A 19,462-nucleotide genomic window follows, 5' to 3' on the forward strand; every position below is an offset into this window, starting at 1 on the left:
GAAAAAAAGAAGTCAGCTTATGAACATCAGGATGAAACAGGGACTACACTCATTACAGACTGCAGATATCAAAGGGATAATAATAAGGGAAAAACTATTTAAAATTCTGTACACACATATATTTGACAACCCAGATGAATTGGACAAATGTGTCGTAAGTATCAACTACCACAACTTACCTAAAGCAAAACAGGTCATCTGAGTAGCTCTGTAACTATGAAAATAATTGGATTCCTAATTTTAAAATTTCCAGAAAGAAAAGCTCCAGGTCCAGATGGTTTCACTGGAGAATTCTACCAAACGGTTGAAGAAAAATTAACATCAATTCTTTTTTTTTTTTTTTGAGGCAGAGTCTTGCTCTGTCTCCCAGGCTGGAGTGCAGTGGTGCAACCTTGGCTCACTGCAAGCTCCGCCCTCCAGGTTCACGCCATTCCCCTGCCTCAGCCTCCCGAGTAACTGGGACTACAGGTGCCCACCACCACGCCCGGCTGATTTTTTGTATTTTTGGTAGAGACGGGTTTTCACCGTGTTAGCCAGGATGGTCTCGATCCCCTGACTTCGTGATCCGCCCGCCTTGGCCTCCCAAAGTGCTGGGATTACAGGCGTGAGCCACCGCGCCCAGCCGAATTAACATCAATTCTGTACAATCTGTTCCAGAAAATAGAAGATGAAGGAACACCTCTCGACTATTTCTGTAAAACTGTGATTACCCCAACTCCAAAACCAGACCACAAAAATGTTTATCAGTCAATGAAGAAAAATCATTTGACAAATTCAACATCTATTCATGATAGAAATAAAGAAGGGAGGCCAGGCTCTTTGGCTCATGCCTGTAATCCCAGAACTTTGGGAGGCCAAGGTGGGTGGATCACCTGAGGTCAACAGTTCGAGACCAGCCTAGTCAACATGGCAAAACCCCATCTCCCTGTTAGGATTCTGTAATTTCTGTTTTTCTCATCTGCAGTATATGGATTTGTTTGCTCCACACCATCCATTCTGCTGCTGAGCCTATCTGCTGGACTTTTTATTTTAGTTGCATTTTTCACTTCTAATACTTCCATTTGGTTCTTATTTATGTCTTGTATTTATTTGCTGAGTCTTTCAGGAATTAAGGGGTAGATCAAAAGAGTTTCAGATTAAGAAAAGCTAAGGGAATCTCTGACCAGTAGTTCTGCCTTAAAAGAAAGATGTCCATAGAAAAAAGAACAAAGAAACTAATCAGAGAGAGAAAGGGACGTTATAAAATGATGAAAGGACCAATCCACCAACCCCCCCCCGACAAAAGTCATAAATATCTATGCAAAATTTCAAGTCATAAATATCTATGCAACAACAACCTTAAATACTGAACAGATAGCTAGACTAATCCACAAATATAGCTGTACGCTTCCATGTCCCCCCTGTCTCTTGTAGGACATTGAGCCAGACAGCTGACCTGTCCTCTACAAACAAGTCCATGTCCCTACCATCAATGACAACAACAAAAAGATGAGGAGATACTTTGGGTTCAAAATAACTAAAGAAATATAGCTACATTATCTTTTTAGTTTTTTTGAACCCAAAATGTCTTTTCTCCTTTTTATTGTGTGATTCGTGGTGACATGGACTGTCTGAAGGAGACAGGTTATTGTCCTGCTCAGTATTCTACATTCTGCAGTTGTCTATCTGGTGATTACCTCCTATGAAACTCAAGCTAAGCATTTTTAGCAAGAACATGGCATTGTTCGTATTCTGCACTGGCAGAGTCCCAAGTGACATGCTGTCTCCTGCCAGCAGCTCCTGACTCCTGTTCTCTACAGGATGGAAGCTGAGAGGAGTAGGGCTAAAGCCTCTCAATGCTGTTTGTCCATCTGGCTTTGGTCTTCCTAAGTATTGGTATCAAGTGGAGGCTGAAGGACTGTGGCTTCTCTAACCAAAGGAGCCTAGTGGGTTAACAATTGTCAAGAGCAGTCAGTGGTTCTGAAATACAATCCTCAGCCATGGATCCCTCCTGTGTTGTGTTGAGCTTTCAATTGCTTTGCTCTTTTAGTTCTATTCATCAAATGAAAATGCTTTTTGTGACATCCGTTCTTTCTTTTCATTGTTCCAGCAGCATTTAGTATCTGTAGGAGAGAGAGAAGGAAAGATGAAATGGGCATCTTTGTCAGGTCCTGCTGATGGCTGAGTCTAGAGGGACTGTTAAGTGGTGATAGCCCAGGGGCAAACTGAGCTCCTGCTAGGAGGATGAGCTGAAGGGTGAGCCTCAGGCTGAGTGAAGAGGCAAGTGCCATCCGCAAGTGAAAAATAAACACCCCTGAACTTCCAGTCAGCTTGAGGTGAAGGATATAGGGACCCTAGCTCTGCCCAACCAGCAGCCCCTTTCCTCCTGATCCCCAGTGTCTGGAGCAGAGTAATGGCTTTTCACACCCCTCAGTGAGGATGTTCTCAGCATCAACCATGAAAGCTCAGAAACAGAAGGCTGCAGAAGGAAAGGACCTTTTGCAGAGAAACCCACTCCCTTACAACTCCATGTCCCCGTCTCTTAGGGAAGGGTGTGCAGGGCCATGGGAAGAACCCTGGAGGTGAGATACAGGAAGGACCTCAGACCGCATCCACATCCAGTTCTGCCTTTTACAACAGAGGAGCAGTGATGCCACAGGGCTGACTTAACTAAAGCCACATGACTTGCAATGGACAACCCTGAAACTAGAACCCACGCACGAAGTCTCTTTCAATAAGTTAGAGAGAAGGGAGAGTCAATTCTCCAATCTGGAGTTCTCGACAGTCACTAGAGGTTGCTGGGTCACCTTGGCTAGGATAGGAATGAGCTTTTACAAAGAAATATGATGTCACTGCTGCTTGTTTTGTTGGTTAAAATAAAAAATGAGAAAAAGACAAAAGAAATATTATGTGTTCTTCCAAAAAGGATCAGAAGAAAAGGAAAGAGTCAAATGGAATTACAAAGGAAGGGTGGTGATTGTAACCATGGCCCAACTTATTATCCCTAATTCCCTGAAGTTGATTCCACACCTGGTTACACCTTAAGGCATTTCTAGAAACATGCTCAATATCTGATCAACAAAACTCTGAAGTAGAAAGTGAAAAGGATTAGTTTGTGTTTTATTACATTCTCCTCTCCCTGTTACATTTTTCCCAGAGTGGTTTCTTGGGAAAGATTTCTTTTTAGAATTTCATGCCAGCATCAAGGGTAGCATAAAAAAGTATTCATATATCATCTCTTCCTGAGTTTCAGTTTTTTTATTATTATTGTTTCTTTTTTTTTTTTTTTTTTTTGAGATGGAGTCTCACTCTGTCACCCAGGCTGGAGTGTAGTGGTGTGATCTCAGCTCACTGCAACCTCTGCCTTCCGGGTTCAAGTGATTCTCCTGCCTCAGCCTCCCGAGTAGCTGGGATTATAGGCACGTGCCATCATGCGTGGCTAATTTTTGTATTTTTAGTAGAGACAGGGTTTCGCCATGTTGGTCAGGCTGGTCTCGAACTCCTGACCTCAGGTGATCCACCCTCCTCAGCCTCCCAAAGTGTTGGAATTAGAAGCATGAGCCACCATGCCCGGCCAAGTTTCAGTTTTTACTTATTATTATATTCTGTCTAGTGGAGTGAGACCTACGAGTTCTCTCTGAGGATTTGGCTGAATGACAAGAATTGAGCAAAGCAGAATTTTTACATTGCAGTGCCGAACCCATTAATGGGCTGTGGAATCAGTGTGTGGAAATGTAAACTGCAGGATTTATTTTAAAATTGAAAAGAAGGCTGGGCATGATGGCTCATGCCTAAATCCCAGCTCTTTGGGAGGCAGAGGTGGATGGATCACTTGAAGCCAGAAGTTCGAGACCAGCCTTGCCAACATGGTGAAACCATGCCTCTACTAAAAAATACAAAAATTAGCCAAGTGTGGTGGCAGGCACCTGTAATCCCAGCTACCCAGAAGGCTGAGGCATGAGAATTGTTGAACCCGCAAGACAGAGGTTGCAGTGAGCCGAGACTGCGCCACTGCATTCCAGCCTGGGTGACAGAGCGAGACTCTGTCTTAAAAATAAAATACAATAAAATAAAATTTAAAAGAAAATACTAAATCTGAATATGTGTAATATACGAGGTATTGTTTTCTGTATACTGGGTTTCAATATAATGACTATTTCTTATTTTACTTGTACTCAAAATTAAGCAAGTGTGCTTTAAGTAGAGAGACTACAGGTCTAATCCATCTATTTTCTTGTTTTTCTTTTTAATTTTTTTCTACGTTCTACAAATACTACTGTTGAGAGGTGAATACAGATCCCATCAATGTCTGATGGATATTCCGCCTTTTGTGTGGAGTAGCCACACAAGTGGTCATCTCCATGTTGAAAACCTGAGGTCAGAGTAGACCAGTGGTCCTTGTCATCTTCAGTTGTATATTAGAATATCATGGAAGTTTTTTAAAGGTACTGATGCTCACATCACACCCCAGACCATTTAAGTGAGAATCTCAAGATGTCAGTTCAAGGCATTCATCTTTATTGAAATCTCACCAGGTGCTTATTACATGGTAGCAGGATTTAGAGACAATGAATGAACCAACCTGATTTCCCATCATTTTCTTTCCTATCCTCATTTCTCTCGTGATTGCCTTCATTCTCTGTGGCTCTGTGGATTTTAGTCTTTCTTCTGACTATTTCAATTAAATCTCTCACTTGGGCTGGTCTGAGGCAAAGTCTGTCCTGTAGATAGGTTCTTGTCTATCATCTTGTGTAGACATAAAGCTGGCCCCTGGACTCACTTTTCTCAAAGTTAATTCATTAAATGCTCTCTTATTTCTCTGTCCTCAAGATTCACCTGAGTTGTGTTTTAGACTCTGAGCTTGTAGAAGTAAATATGTGAATAAAAAGGACAGAGGTGAGAATGCACTTTGTGGTCTATGCAGGTTCAAAGTCCTGCCCTGCCCTCTGCATCTTTCTTTGGCTGAGGTCCCTTTGGAATGTCATAAATGTTCTCCAGTTAATGTCAGCTAAGTGACTCCATGAGGAGCAGACACAGTCCCTGGAAACTTCATCCACGCTGGCATAAGGTTGCCCATCTAGAGATGAAGACACACCTGACTCCAGGCTAGTAGGGAACTCTCGTCTGTGACCCAGGTTCTAATTTAGTTTTTGATTTGGAGTTCTTAGTGCTCAGTTTTAACACTTCTCATTCCCATGTACAAGGTGAGGGTTACAGTTTGACTTAGTTGTGTTGCTCAAAAGCTGTCCCAAGAGAAAAATCTGTGTGTAAATGACGTATTAAAGCAATGCTCCTGGCAGAAAGGGGCAATGGAGTTTGGGATGCAGAAAGGAAAGGCAAATTACTCAAGCTGTGCAATTCCAGGCAAAGAACCCTGTGTTTAGCAGCTCACACCATGCACTTGGAGGGGGACAAGGAAGTTGGGCTCTCCTGTGGCCATGAGAGGGACTCTTAGGACAACAGCAGTGGGAACAGAGCAGAGTTCAGAGAGCAAACAGGGGATGGGGATCAGAAGGACCTGGCACCATGGCAGCCCATGGGACACAGAGGTAATACCAGACAGAGGTGACAGCAGCTGCTGGAGAGAACAAATACAGAAGAAAAAAGCAGTGGGAGAAGGAGCTGTCATCATAGACAGAGAGGAATAAGGAGTGAGTGCAGCTAAGAGCCATAGATGTGATTACCTTCCTGCTCTAAGCTTGCAGGCCAGGGAATCTGCATGCCAGTCTCCACTTGCTGAACAGCAGTTTTCTTTTGATCATCTTCGGTTTTAGGACACTTGAGGCATGAATGTGGCCAATGACTTGATGCCCATGTATGTTGTCAGCTGAGCCTTCAATAGCATCACCTTCCAGCTGGGGAGGGTTCTTCATTCAAGGGAAGGCTCTCAACCCAGCTCTGAAAATGAAACCACACCCAACAGTGTTCACTGTCATCCATGATCTTACTGTGACTTTCTCTTCCACCCAAGAGGATCATCAGAGAAGGAAAGTGGCCTTGAATAAGAAAGTCCAACGGGTAAAGGGAAGCCAGGAAAGACATTTTGGTATTTTCTGTATTGTTGATTTTTCATGCATCACCCAGTAATGACAAGATTGCCAGGAGGAAAAGGTGATCCCAACTGACAAACATATTCAAAAAATTTAGGATCAATAAACACAAATAGTTTCCAGGTAGATAAGGCAAAGGCAAGGAAGTCAGACTGGATACAGGCGGTGTTTTGGGAGGGAGGAGATTCTAAAACTCAACATTAAATGAACATATGAGAGAAAAGAATTGGATAGACTAAACATGAGATATTGATGAAATGAGCATGCAGATATGTATATAGCATATATCTACATTTTATTAAAAATACATGCCAAATATGCATAATATATATATCCAATGACATAAATGCATATATTTATATATATAAATCTATTGGAAGAAATTGTTACATAAGGATGTGGAAGATGTTGAATTAGCGTTATAATCACTAACATTATAATCTGGTCCACTGAAACTGGAAAAAATTTTAGAAAAATAAGATGAACGAGAGAGAGAAGACATGGTGAGAAACAAATGCCCTATTAGACAGCAAGGAGAAGTCACCAGATAAAGGACAATGAAACAAAAGGCATTCACTCTGTCCTCTTGCCTGGAACCTGGTTAGTGATCCGGACTCCTGGGAAAGCCAGCAGGTAAGAGTGTTGGAGCCAGCGGGGTGAGTCCTGACTAGGGGTGCAGGAATCCATGGAGAAGCAAAAGAGACACCAGTGGGAAGAAATCAGTTTAAATACTCAAAGTTATCAGGGCACGTGTCAGGGACTACGCATCCCCCGACACTCACTGAGCGTTTTCCATGTGTCCTCTCCATGGACCCAGATGGTGCTCGTTATCTCACGTGACCCTCCCTCCTCCTGAGGACGTGGGTCTCCTTATTCCTCGGCTGGGGGCATCGATTGACAGATGAGCACCAGGCAGCCCCAGGGGCTCCAGGAGTAGATATTGAGTGGGACGGAGAGTAAGGATGAACACAACCCAGGGTTTTAAGGAAATCTGGGCAGAAGTGGATCCCTGTGAGAAGAAAACTGAGGACATGGCCGTGGGCATGAATGGAGATGATGAACTAAATGGAGTTTCATAAAAGAGACAGATTTATACCCTTTCCATGAGAAGGTTGCCCTTTCATTCTTTTATTTCAAAACGAGGGGAGAAAACAGAGCAAGAAGCTGGGTATGTCAGGAGACTGACTTGTGGGCCCAGGATTTGCACTTTTACTAATGTGCCTAATAGGTTGTTACTGAAGTGCATGACCGGGGGAAATTGACTTAAAAAGGGATGCTGAGGAAGAGAAAGAAAACTGGCAAAAGATACTTTCTAAGTAAACACAGGAAGGGAGTCTCTAGAAAGTAGAGATCCTAACAGTTACTCTTCCTCAGTTGAAACAATGCACGTGAAGTCATTTCCTGAGTGCTAACTTACCAGAAAGATAACAGAATTAGATAACATCTATTCATAGATTTATTAAGCAATTTTTACTGAATTAGCCCTTTGGAAATTATCATAATTAATGTTATCGACAATGATGGAATGTAGATATTATTTTTCAGGTCTCTCAGATGACAGGACTGAGATGTAAATGCCAACACCATAAATAACTTGGCCGAGATGAATGAGTAAGGGTTAAGCCCAGGACCTGAGAGCAGATTTGATCCTAAACCCCAGGCTCTTGCTCACCTCACTGGGTTGGAACATTGTAGATTTCTGCTTGACTCTGAGGGAGCACGAAGAGACCCCATTGCCTCCTCCCCTCACAGCACCATGACCAGGACACCCGGATGAGAGCTTCCTGGTCCCCTTTCCTTCCCTACCTTGGAAGGGCCATTGGTTCCCAGGATCACCGTTGGTTGTGAAGCTGCAGGTGGTGGAGGAAACATCCCGCCTGGCTAAGCCATAGCCACAGTCAAACCCTTGATCCAGTTGCAGTCACAGACAATTGGGCACCAGGATTCTTGGCTCCAGCTGTGCCTGTGAAGTCTCCACCTCTGACAGGTGGTGGCTCAAGTCTCCACTCCAAGGCCCGTGAGGACAGGCCACCTGGGTGGGAGCTGAAAGGAGAAGGGGCTTCAGTAGGAACGCTCTCAGCTTTCCCTTTGTTAATCATGCCCAGAACACCCATCTCTGACATCTCCGCCTCTGAGGTAAGCCACCCAGTGGCCCAGGCCACAAAGACAGACATCATGTAAATGGGGTGATGTCACCTTCCTGTCTGTGCCTGGGGATGCTGAGATGGAAGGTACCCAGGCTGGATGACCCTGAAGTGAAAAACCCCCACTTCAGCCCAGAGGGCTTTGGATTGGCTAACAAGGCCATGCCAAATATTCTGTTATTATTAATCTCCATCCTGCAGCCTAGAAAGAATGCTCTGGAGAACCTTCAGAGCATAGGAAATGCTATTTTTCTCAACACACAGGAGTATAAGAACAGGGGAGGACTTAGAGCCTCCAGGCTTTGGGAAGGAACCATAGAAAAGGGTTTTGGGACACTGTAGACCAGCAGTCTCCAAACTTTTTTGCCTCGGGGACTGGTTTCGTGGAAGACAATTTTTCCTTGGACCAGGGGTGGGGGACGTGAAAAGAGGGAAGGATCATTTCGGAATGAAACTGTTCCACCTCAGATCATCAGGCATTAATTAGATTCTCGTAAGGAGCGCGCAACCTAGATCCCGTTCATGCACAGTTCACAATAGGGTTTGTGCTTCTATGAGAATCTAATGCCACCGCTGATCTGACAGGAGGCGGGGCTCAGGCTGGAATGCTCGCTTGCGGGCCACTCATATCCTGCTGTGCGGCCTGGTGCCTAACAGGCCCAGGACAGGTAGCTGACCACAGCCCCGGGGGCTTGGGGCCCCCTGCAAGAAACCAAATACTACATGAGGCGAACTTTTAAGAGTTCTGGAACATTTTGAATTTCCGTTGCCTATAATGGTTTTACCACCAACCCACACATATACATCTTGTTGCCACATAGTGGGTTTCCGCAGCCATACGCAATGTTGTAAAGGGACCAGTCCCTTCACGGACACTTAGGGGCCACAGGTATTACAGATCAGTATGTGTGGTTCTGTAGGGAGGCAACACCGAGCACAATCCTCATCTTACCCACTCCTCCAGTGGGGTCCGGGCAGCACCCCCTCATAAAAATTATTGCTGTTTCCACAGGAAGAGGAAATCACATTCTCAGAAAGTGGACAAAATGCATTATGATTTGCAGTGGTTTTCGTTTTCTTTTTTTTCTTTCTTTTTTTTTTTTTTTCCCCAGACAGACTCTCGCTCCGTCTCCCAGGCTGGAGTGCAGTGGCGCCATCTCGGCTCACTGCAAGGCGATTCTCCTGCCTCAGCGTCCAAAGTAGCTGGGATTACACGGACGCACCGCCACCCCCGGTTAATTTTTGTATTTTTTTAGTAGAGACAGGGTTTTACTATGTTGATCAGGGTGGTCTCCAACTCCTGACCTCAGGTAATCTGCCCACCTTGGACTCCCGAAGTGCTGGGATTACAAGCGTGAGCCACCGCGCCCGGTTCTTTTTTGAATGTTTGGAAGAGTTGAGCTGTGAGGCCATTTGGTCCTGAGCTTCTCTTTGTTGGGAGGTTCTTCAGTCCTTTTATTTGTTATTGGTCGTTCAGGCTTTCGGTTTCTTCTTGATTCAATCCTGGTAGGTTGTGTGTTTCTAAGAATTTATCCATTTACTCTAGGTTATCCAATTTGTTGGTATAGAGCTGTTAATAACAGTTTCTTTTTTCTTTTTTTTTTTTTTTTTGAGACGGAGTCTCGCTCTGTCGCCCAGGCTGGAGTGCAGTGGCAGGATCTCGGCTCACTGCAAGCTCCGCCTCCCGGGTTCCTGTCATTCTCCTGCCTCAGCCTCCCGAGTAGCTGGGACTACACGCTACTGGGTAGCTAGCTGGGTAGCAGGCACCCGCCACCACGCCCGGCTAATTTTTTTGTATTTTTAGTAGAGACGGGGTTTCACCGTGTTAGCCAGGATGGTCTCGATCTCGTGACCTCGTGATCCGCCCGCCTCGGCCTCCCAAAGTGCTGGGATTGCAGGCGTAGGAGCCACCGCGCCCGGCCTAATAATAGTTTCTTATGATCCTTTTTACTTGTGAGGCTTCTGTTGTAATGCCTCCACTTTCATTTCGCATGTTATTTATTTGAGTCTTCTCTATTTTTTTCTTAGTTAGTTTAGCCAAGTGTTTGTTAATTTTACTTTTTCCAGAAAAACAACTCGGGTGCGAGAGGCCTACGTTGCATCACCACTGGAGGCCAGTAGTTCCCAATCAGCCTGGAAAGAATAGTAAGACGTTGTCTCTCCTAAAAAGAGAAAAAGAAAGAGAAAGGAAAAGGAAAAAAAACAAAACAAAACAAAACAAAAAACCAACAACTCACTTTTATTATTTTTCTGTAGTATTTCTGTTCTTCAGTTGATTTACTTCTGCATTGATTTTTGTTTCCTTTTTTCAGTGAACTTTGGATTTATTTTGTTGTTTTTTTCCTGGTTTCTTGAGGTGTAATGTTTATTTGAAGTCTTTCTTCTTTTTTAATGTATGCATTTATGGTTATAAACTTGACTCTTAAGAGCTGTTTTTCCTGTTTCCAAAGATTTTGTTATGTTTGTTTTCACTTTTGTTGGCCTCAATATATTTTCAAATTTCCCTTTTGATTTGTTCTTTGATCAATCAGTTGTTCAAAGGCAAGTTGTTTAATTTCCATGTATTTTTTAATTTTCCAGTTTTCCTTATGTAGTTAATTTTTAGTTTCATACCATTGTGGTCAGAAAAGATACTCGATGGGATTGGAATCATTGTTAATTTGTCTAAGATGTACTCTTCATTATTTTAATTGATGTATAATTGTGGCACACATTTTGGGGATACACATGATATTTTGATAAACATATACAATTTATAATGATTGAATCAGTGTAAGTAGTATATCTGTCACCTCAAAACTTTATCTTTTCTTTATGTTAGGAATATCCCAATTCCTCTCTTCTAGTTATTTTAAAATATACAAGAAGTTATTTTGAGTTATAGTCTCCCTAATATACTATCAAATACTAGAACTTATTCCTTCTATTTAACTATATTTTATATGCATTAACCAATATCTTTTCTTCCTTCTCCCCTATCTCCTTCCCAGCCTCTTGTAACCACTAATTTTAATATATGATATGACACATGAATTCAGTTTTTTCTACTTGTTTATTTTTATATGGTTACAAATATGTCACATCCATTGCTTAAAAAGAAAATCTTCAATCGTTTGTTGAAATATTATGCATTTTTAAATACATTGCTTTTTCAAGATTGTCAAAAATCTGTTCTCAATATATGTGTTCATTTATATTTGGACTCTATTTTCTTTTGATCCATTTAATTGATCACATACCAAAGCTCTGTTGTGGCCATTACAACTCTGTGATTGTTCTTTAAATCAGGTGGAGCTAGCCCTCCAATTTTGCACTTCGTTATACAGGCATTTTGGTTATGCTAGTTCATGTTAATTTTAGAATCAGCTGCCATTTTCTACCAACGATGCATGCTGAAATTTTGAGTCGGATTGCATTGAATTCATAGATCAAATTAGGGGAAATGAACATCTCAACAATATTCTTACACATGAACAAACAATATCTTTCCAGTTATTAGACCTGCACTATGTTCTCCGTGAAATATGCTCTAATTTTCAGTCATATTCACATTTATGGATTTTATACACTTGACATTATTGTAAATGGTATTCCTTTTACATTTAAATTCTGCCGTGCAATTGCATAAACACAATTTATTTTTGCATATTGATCTTATATCCTGCTAGAAACAAATGCTTTTTGGATTCAGGTTTGATTGGCCAGTGGCAATATCTTTGGAAACTTGCGTATTTACCAGGCATGAAGAATCTTTCTCATTTCAATTGGAGCTTTATCACCAGCCCAAGGGAGAGGAATGTCCTAACGCATATCAAGTTCTGAGGTTGGGAAGAGTTTGTCCTTTGTAGACAAATGCATGTGAAATGTTCTGTATGTTCACCAATAAGTTTTCCTTAAGATTACTCATGCAGTTATAAGGCTGCCCATCTGCACTTGTGTTTAGCTGCAATACTATAGTTGTAAAATTTAGAAGCCAATGTTGTCCCTTAGTTTAAAATTTAATATTCAAGAATCTATTCCAACATTATGTAGTGCCAAAAACTTTGGGATGATATGCAATGATATGTCCAGCAAGTATGAGTTTGTACCTGATCCTTATTAGTCTTCCTTCTGATGTGATCTATTATAAAATGAGACCTTTAAGAGCTTTAAAATAATTAATAATGGCATGCTGAGGAGGTTAGTTTGTGGGATATTCAGTAGCCGTAGGAAACAGTAGTTCCTACTCTGTATCTCAAGTGGGAGTCCACTCTTCAGTATGTCAGCTTCAAGACCCTGATCTGCAGTGGAATTTGCAGCCCCCTGCTGTGTCAGCTTCATTACTTCAAGGGAGGGTGAATGCCTTCAGTTCTTTAGGTCACAATTGACACATGTAGCACATTTTGGTACCTCTTCAGTTACTGACCTTTATGCCCACTCATGTCAGGCTTGCTCACCTGAGTGATTCACAAGATCACATTCCCAATGCATCAGATCACAGTGTCACAAAAAAAAAAGCATTTATTTTTCGTTATGTATCTCTCCTGAATTTCAACCTTGATAGGCTAACATGGCTCACAAACAGCTTTAAATTTGGTTTCTCAAATGTCTGTCTAATGGTTTACAAAAGTCCAGTTACTCAAATGAATTTATCTTACAGTCCGGTTTTCTATTGTTCCATGCTGTGCCTCAGTGACATAAACCAAGAGTCAGTATATAAAAAAGATTTATTCCCACTGGTTTATAACCAACCAATAACTAGTATGCCTGTTATATATAGTTCTGTGCATTGGGTTGCCAGTCTCCTTCCTTCTTTTGCCTGATTTTTGTTGGAAGTGGAGATGATGTAATGTTATGGGTCACTTCTATTAGTGTCCCTGGACTACAGTTCTACCATCTATTTTTTAAGCTATTTTACCTCGTTATTATAAGATCTGCATATTTGTGAGCATCATTTATGTTATTAATAGTTAACATCTGGGGGGGTGGGGGAGGGATAGCATTAGGAAATATACCTAATGTTAAATGATGAGTTAATGGGTGCAGCACACCAACATGGCACAGGTATACATATGTAACAAACCTGCACGTTGTGCACATGTACCCTAAAACTTAAAGTATAATAATAAAAAAAAAAGTTAACATCTATGGTAGTCACTTCTTTGGTTATGTCAGAGACTAAAATCTGAAAATCAGAAATTCATTCTTTATTTCAGGTGTGTGCATGCTGTTGTGTTGATCCCTGTCCCCTCCCAGAAAAGTCATTGTAGGCCCAAGTCGATGAAGGGACAGACTGTGAAAGAACAGATGCAGAGCATGGACTAAGTATGCAGTGCCCACTGAATCAAAAACTTTGCTGAAGTTGCTTTTCTGCGATTGTCTAACATTCCTCTGAGTCACCTTATCTGCTGCTTAAAAGCCCCAAAGCATTTTCTTAACTGTCTTGTGGCCATTGTTATAAACTCTGCTCTGCTCTTCCTGTGTCAACTACCACACAGTCTGTTTCATTGCATGGCCCTAAAGGCAGAGCCATTTTTCCAACTTTAAGTGCACTAAGGGTATCCTGTTTCTACAAAACCAGTGGATGTTAGTGGTTCTCTTAGGGATTTTTTTTTCTTTTTTGTCATATAAGGCCATAATTGGAGTAATGTGAAAAATATTTTTTCCTCCAGAAGTTATTAGATGCTGCTATATCCAATATTTGTTCTATCAGTACACTATAATGTATCCCAGCTATGCATTTTATATTTCCTAAAACTTCACTTCTGAGAAGGCCCTTCATGTGTTTTTAAAAATTCATGGCCCACCCAGCAGCATTACTAAGTCTTTTGGAGTCTAGCCTCATGGTCTTTCTGTTGATTTTCCTGCTGTCAACATGTAATCTGTGAAATGAAACAAAGGGAGGGGATCCAGGCCAAGACTTGGCGACATTCACTTATGACAGTCAGTAGTCAGACACTATGTGCAGAGATCCTCCAGATCCTGTTTGACCAGCATCTTTGGGAGGTTAAGAGCCCAGCCCTGTCAGAACCACTATTCATTATCATCGACCCTTTCACCAGAATGCACCTGTGGGTGTCGGCTACTGATTTTCTCACCTGCAGGCAACTCAGGCTGAGCTGAGAGCAGAAATCTTAAGCTCTTGTCACTAAGGTCTCTTCTGTGCTTCCTCTGTATCACCCGCCGTAACTAGCATAATGCTTTACCCACAGGGGCTCAAGAGATGCATTTGTTGAGCTCAACAAATTGAGAATCCAAGTTGTCTTGATAAGCAGAGATGTTATGGTGTAGAGAATTGGATAGGGTAAGCGAGGAACAAAACAGGTTGTCATTTTGTTGTTGTTGTTGTTGTTTCTAAGAGTACAAAAATTGTGACTGGCAACTGCTGGGGAATCCTAAGGCAGGACTTTAGTCCCTAACCCCCCTACATTCTCACTACATTCATGGAAGCTGCTTTACTCCTTTCCACCTTAGGTATTTCATCTATAATTAGAGGATAAAACACACAACTTCTAAATGCTAGTACTATGACTGATATAGAATTTATTTTGGACATGGGTGAATCTTGGAGTCTCCAAAGCATTTAAATTACCAGACAGAGGCTGGGAGTGGTGGCTCACGCCTGTAATCCCAGCACTTTGGGAGGCCGAGGTGGGTGGATCACCTGAAGTCAGGAGTTCGAAACCAGCCTGGCCGACGTGGTGAAAACCCGTCTCTACTAAAAATATAGGAAATTAGCCGGGCGTGGTGGCACACACCTGTAATCCCAGCTACTCAGGAGGCTGAGGCAGGAGAATCACTTGAACCCGGAGGCAGAGGTTGCAGTGAGCCGAGATCATGCCATTGAACTCCAGCCTGGGTAAAAAGAGCGAAACTCCGTCACAAAAAAACAAAACAACAACAACAAAAACAAAAACATATATATATATATATTACCAGACAGAAGATAGATAATCTGTGATTACTATGTCAAGGACAATTTTAGAATACTTGTTAAATTCACCCCTTTCTTTTCACAGCTGGCCAGGACATAGTCAGTAGCTACTGATACCTTGAATACCTTGGGTGTGTTAACTGTTTTGACCCATCATGGAGCCAAGATGTTGGTTGTACCTTGAGATGCTGATCTGGCTGAAGTCCAGGGTCACGGGCCCAGGATAGGTCATTCAGCTATTTGAAAAAAACAGAAGAGAGACCAGGCCATCCACTGAGGTCATCTCCATGCAGCATGGGCCACTGGTTCCAGTGAACCCACCATCACCATACTTCTCAGGAATCGCTGGTCACTAGACTGAGAGTTCTGTCAAAGCTGAGATCATATCTTGCTAATCTCTGTGTTCATGGTTCCCAGCTCAGGGTCTAGCACTGAGGGAGTTCTCAGGAGAGTGTTCATCAATTATTGAATAAAAGCGATTGCAAACCTCCTCTCACCTGCATTCCTGTCCCAAATGTCCTGTCAGGGATGCTGAGATTTCTCCCAGGATGCAGCAAATCCCTTTCCTTAGACTGGCCCTTGCCTTACACCATTCATGCCCCAGGATCCCTCTCTGTGGGACATTGGAGGAAAATGAGTCTGTTCTGAAGAAGTCCTCTTATGGTTCCCCCTGTCATTAGGAGCAATGTCTTCACCTAAACTCCCACTCTATGGGTTGCCACAGCACCCCAATGTGGGGGAACTTTCATATTTTCTTAAAAAGCTATATTTCTGTTCTTTCTCTCATGGGCTTGAGTTCCTTTGGGGAGACATTAATATCTGAATCCCAAGTGTTTAACACAGCGTAAAGAAAATTAAACACCAATAAATATTTATGAGATATCATTTGGAAACCTCCTTCAACTGTAAGTACAGAAGAATATTATAAGTATCACTGCTTTGTATACTAGCAAGGGACACTTACTCTAGCACCTGACCTAGGGCAGAGCTTTTTAACATAAGAATGGATGTCTCCAACCCTTCTCCCAGCATGGTTATTCCCTCTAACCCACACTGACCTGAAGAGCATCCACTGCTACGGCAGCCCCAAGGTCAAGCCTCCTGGGTCTGGGGCGGGGCTCATGGTCACATCTTCCCCCTCTTGGAGTTGCTGCTGCCCCTCACTATAAACCAGATGTCATCCAGCCTGTGGCTCTCCCTGGCCAGGGGCAGGAGACTCCTGTGGAGTAAATTTCTCTCTCAGTCCCCACTGCTCAGCTCGCGCTGCTCCTTGAGAGTTTGGATGATGACAGGCATTGCCCATTTCCCCTGAGGCTTCTGTCCCAACTTGTCCTTATTCCCCCCTTCTTTGGTTTTCATTTACCAATGGCTTGTCCTTTGTGAGTTGTTCTCATCCCCTAAACCTGCTGACTTTCTTTCTTTCATCTGTTCCCTCAGTTCTGGGCTTCCAGTGTGTGGACTCAGCTCAGGCTCCTGCAGGAGACACACAGAGTCAGGTCTCAGCTGCAGGTCCTGGGTGGCATTAAAAACCATCTCAGCAGAGTTTCACCATGTCTGCCAGGCTTGGCCGGTTGTGGTGGTTCACGCCTGTGATCCCTGCACTTTGGGAGGCCGATGCAGGTGGATCGCCTGAGATGGGGAGTTCGAGACCAGCCTGGCCAACATGGTGAGACCCCATCTCAACTGAAAATGCAAAGGATTGGCTGGGCGTGGTGGCGTGCGCCTGTAGTCCCAGCTACTCGGGAGGCTGAGATAGGAGAGTTGCTTGAACCCGGGAGGCGGAGGTTGCGGTGGGCCGGGATTGTGTCACTGCACTCCAGCCTGGGCAACGAGAACAAAACTCTGTCTCCACCAAGGTGACATTTTCTACCCTGTGTCCTGTTCCCCAATAAAAACAAATTCACAAATTCACAAAAAAACTAAACTAAACTAAAACTGTCTCAAAAAAAAAAAAAAAAAAAAAAACCCCACCATGTTGGCCAGGCTGGCCTCCAACTCCTGTCCTCAAGGGATCCTGTAATCTCCCCATTTTGGGAGGCCGAGGCGGGCAGATCACTTGGGGCCAGGGGTTTGAGACCAGATTGGGCGACATGGCAAAGCCCCATCTCTACAAAACATATAAGAATCAGCCAGGCGTGGTGGCATGCACTGCCTGTGGTCCTGGCTACTTGGGAGGCTGAGGCTGGAGGATAGCTTGGGCCGGGAAGCTTGAGGTTGCAGTGAGCAGAGATCATACCATTGTACTCCAGCCTGGGTGACAGAGCGAGACTTTGTCTTTAAAAAAAAAAATAGAGGCTGGGCACAGTGGCTGACGCCTGTAATCCCAGCACTTTGGGAGGCCGAGGCGGGCGGATCACGAGGTCATGAGATCGAGACCATCCTGGCTAACATGGTGAAACCCCGTCTCCACTAAAAAATACAAAAAATTAGCCGGGCGAGGTGGCGGGCGCCTGTAGTCCCAGCTGCTCGGGAGGCTGAGGCAGGAGAATGGCGTGAACCCGGAAAGCGGAGCTTGCAGTGAGCTAAGATCGCGCCACTGCACTCCAGCCTGGGCCTTGGAGTGAGACTCTGTCTCAAAAAAAAAAAAAAAAAAAAAAAAGAATTGACTTGAAGGAGTCAGGCCGGAAGGCCAAATAGGAGATGAATGGGGATAGCGGCTTGAATAAGGGCAGTGGCAAGGAAAATGGGCTAGGGGTTAGGGAAGGGGGCCGACTGGCTGTGCACCCAAATGCTAAAAAGGGTCCAGAAAGGAATGTGTTCAGCTATTTTTCAAGGACTTCTAAATTAAACTCTCTTAAATGATGTTTATATTAAGGCTGGTGGTGGAGTCTTTCAGAGGCAGTGTTGGTGCTAGAAGAGCTCTTGAGGATCATACAGCCTCCCCCCTCAATTTCACAGTGAAAGAAAACCTCAGAGAAGCAAAGCAACTTGCTCAAGGTCACACAGCATTTCAGTGGTAGAACATGACTCGTGGTTCTTAGATAGCATTACCCAGCCTCCACTGAGGCTAATGGCTGTAGGCGCTATGCCAACATGACTAGATCTAAGGCGACCCAAGCAATATTTTAAGGGACTGAACGCAGATTCCCTCTCTTCCCCTTCGCCACCCCTTCCTCCACGCGCGACTCCAGTGATCAATGAATAATTGTGGAAACAGTTCCTTTGTTCAGAACTCTTCGTTAAAAGAGGTGCAGAGATACACGTCTGCGGTAGGATTCCTTATCCTGAGATCTGAGAGCACCTCGATGCTTCCCCAACCTGCTAGGTGAGGGTGGAAAGGGCATTCCTGAGGCAGCCGGTGCCCCTCCTCTGCCCCCCAACTCCCACGTGGTTTCTCCAGCCAAGTTCTCACGGAGTGGCCCCTCCCTCAGCGGCTCCACTGTTGCCATAGCAATTGGGTGGGTGGAGAGCCCGTCCTATCTAGAGGCCACCCAGCCCTCGCGTGGGGAGTTACCATAACAACCCCCTAGTAATAGAGGGGGTTGGGTACCGCCCCCTTCCCCAGCAAATTGAAAGGTGGGTGGCTTGATTGGCAGCTGGGCACACGAAAGAAGGAGGGAAAGGGAAGGAAAAAAATAAATAAATAAAAACCATCTCAGTTCCTCAGAGACTCAGAGAAAACACAGTAGGAAGCGACCTCAGAGAGGAACAATAAGCCCCTACCTCACTGAGGAGGAAAGTGAAGCCAAGAAAGACTAAGACTCTCCCAGGCTCCCTCACCACATGGTGGCAGCAGATCGACCACACAAGCCTTGGCCTCAGCCTCCAGGTCCAAAGCACCTAACTCACCCACCAGGAACTCACTGCTGCGTTTCAGAAAACTTTGGATCAAAAACAGCAATTTCCACTGTGAAAACAAATAAAGTAAAAGGGCTTTTCCTTGGACAAACCTTTTATCACGGTTCTGTAGTCCTAGTATTTATACTCAGTCAGTTGTCATTCGCTGGCTGGTAGATTCAGGCAGGGAGCACATAAAGATTAAGTAATGTTTAACACAAGCCTGCTCTCCCAGCCTGGGATCTCAGCTCCTCCCTTCTTCAGGGAGTTTCCTCTGCTCTAACTGCTGGAGAGTCTCAGCCCTCATGTGGGTCATTTCTCCATGGTGATACCTATTATTTTCTTCCTCTCTTGGAGATAAGAGAGGGCAGAGATTGGCTCTGGGTCTCCACAATTCTAGGTTTTCTCCTAAACCAGCCAGCTCAGCTGAAAGCAATCATGACAGAGAGGTCAGGTCAGTGAAGAGGGTCCCAGGGGAGCAGGGGGTCACAAGGACAGCCCCACATGGAGATGGTCAGGACCGTGACCTGGGCAACATTTGACCAATTCTGCTGGGGATGATGTGCAAAGGATTAAGGGGAGGATGCTGCCATAAGGAG

General features: G+C 43.8%; 1 long non-coding RNA gene across 2 annotated transcripts; it reads right to left on the reverse strand.

Moving 5' to 3' along the window:
• Positions 1-1,582: 1,582 nt before the first annotated feature.
• Positions 1,583-19,054, reverse strand: LOC101929790 (uncharacterized). Of its 2 annotated transcripts, XR_922104.2 has the most exons (7): positions 18,977-19,054; positions 16,450-16,559; positions 16,145-16,305; positions 15,266-15,322; positions 7,836-8,072; positions 5,664-5,877; positions 1,583-2,102 (listed from the first exon to the last, which is right to left on the reverse strand). It is a non-coding gene; the product is annotated as an uncharacterized LOC101929790 (long non-coding RNA). The 2 variants fall into 2 exon arrangements; XR_254364.3 differs by lacking the exon at positions 16,450-16,559 and having other exon boundaries at positions 18,977-19,050.
• Positions 19,055-19,462: the final 408 nt, after the last annotated feature.

The sequence above is a fragment of the Homo sapiens genome, chromosome 1 (genome assembly GCF_000001405.40).
Source record: "Homo sapiens chromosome 1, GRCh38.p14 Primary Assembly".
Lineage (NCBI taxonomy): Eukaryota > Metazoa > Chordata > Mammalia > Primates > Hominidae > Homo > Homo sapiens.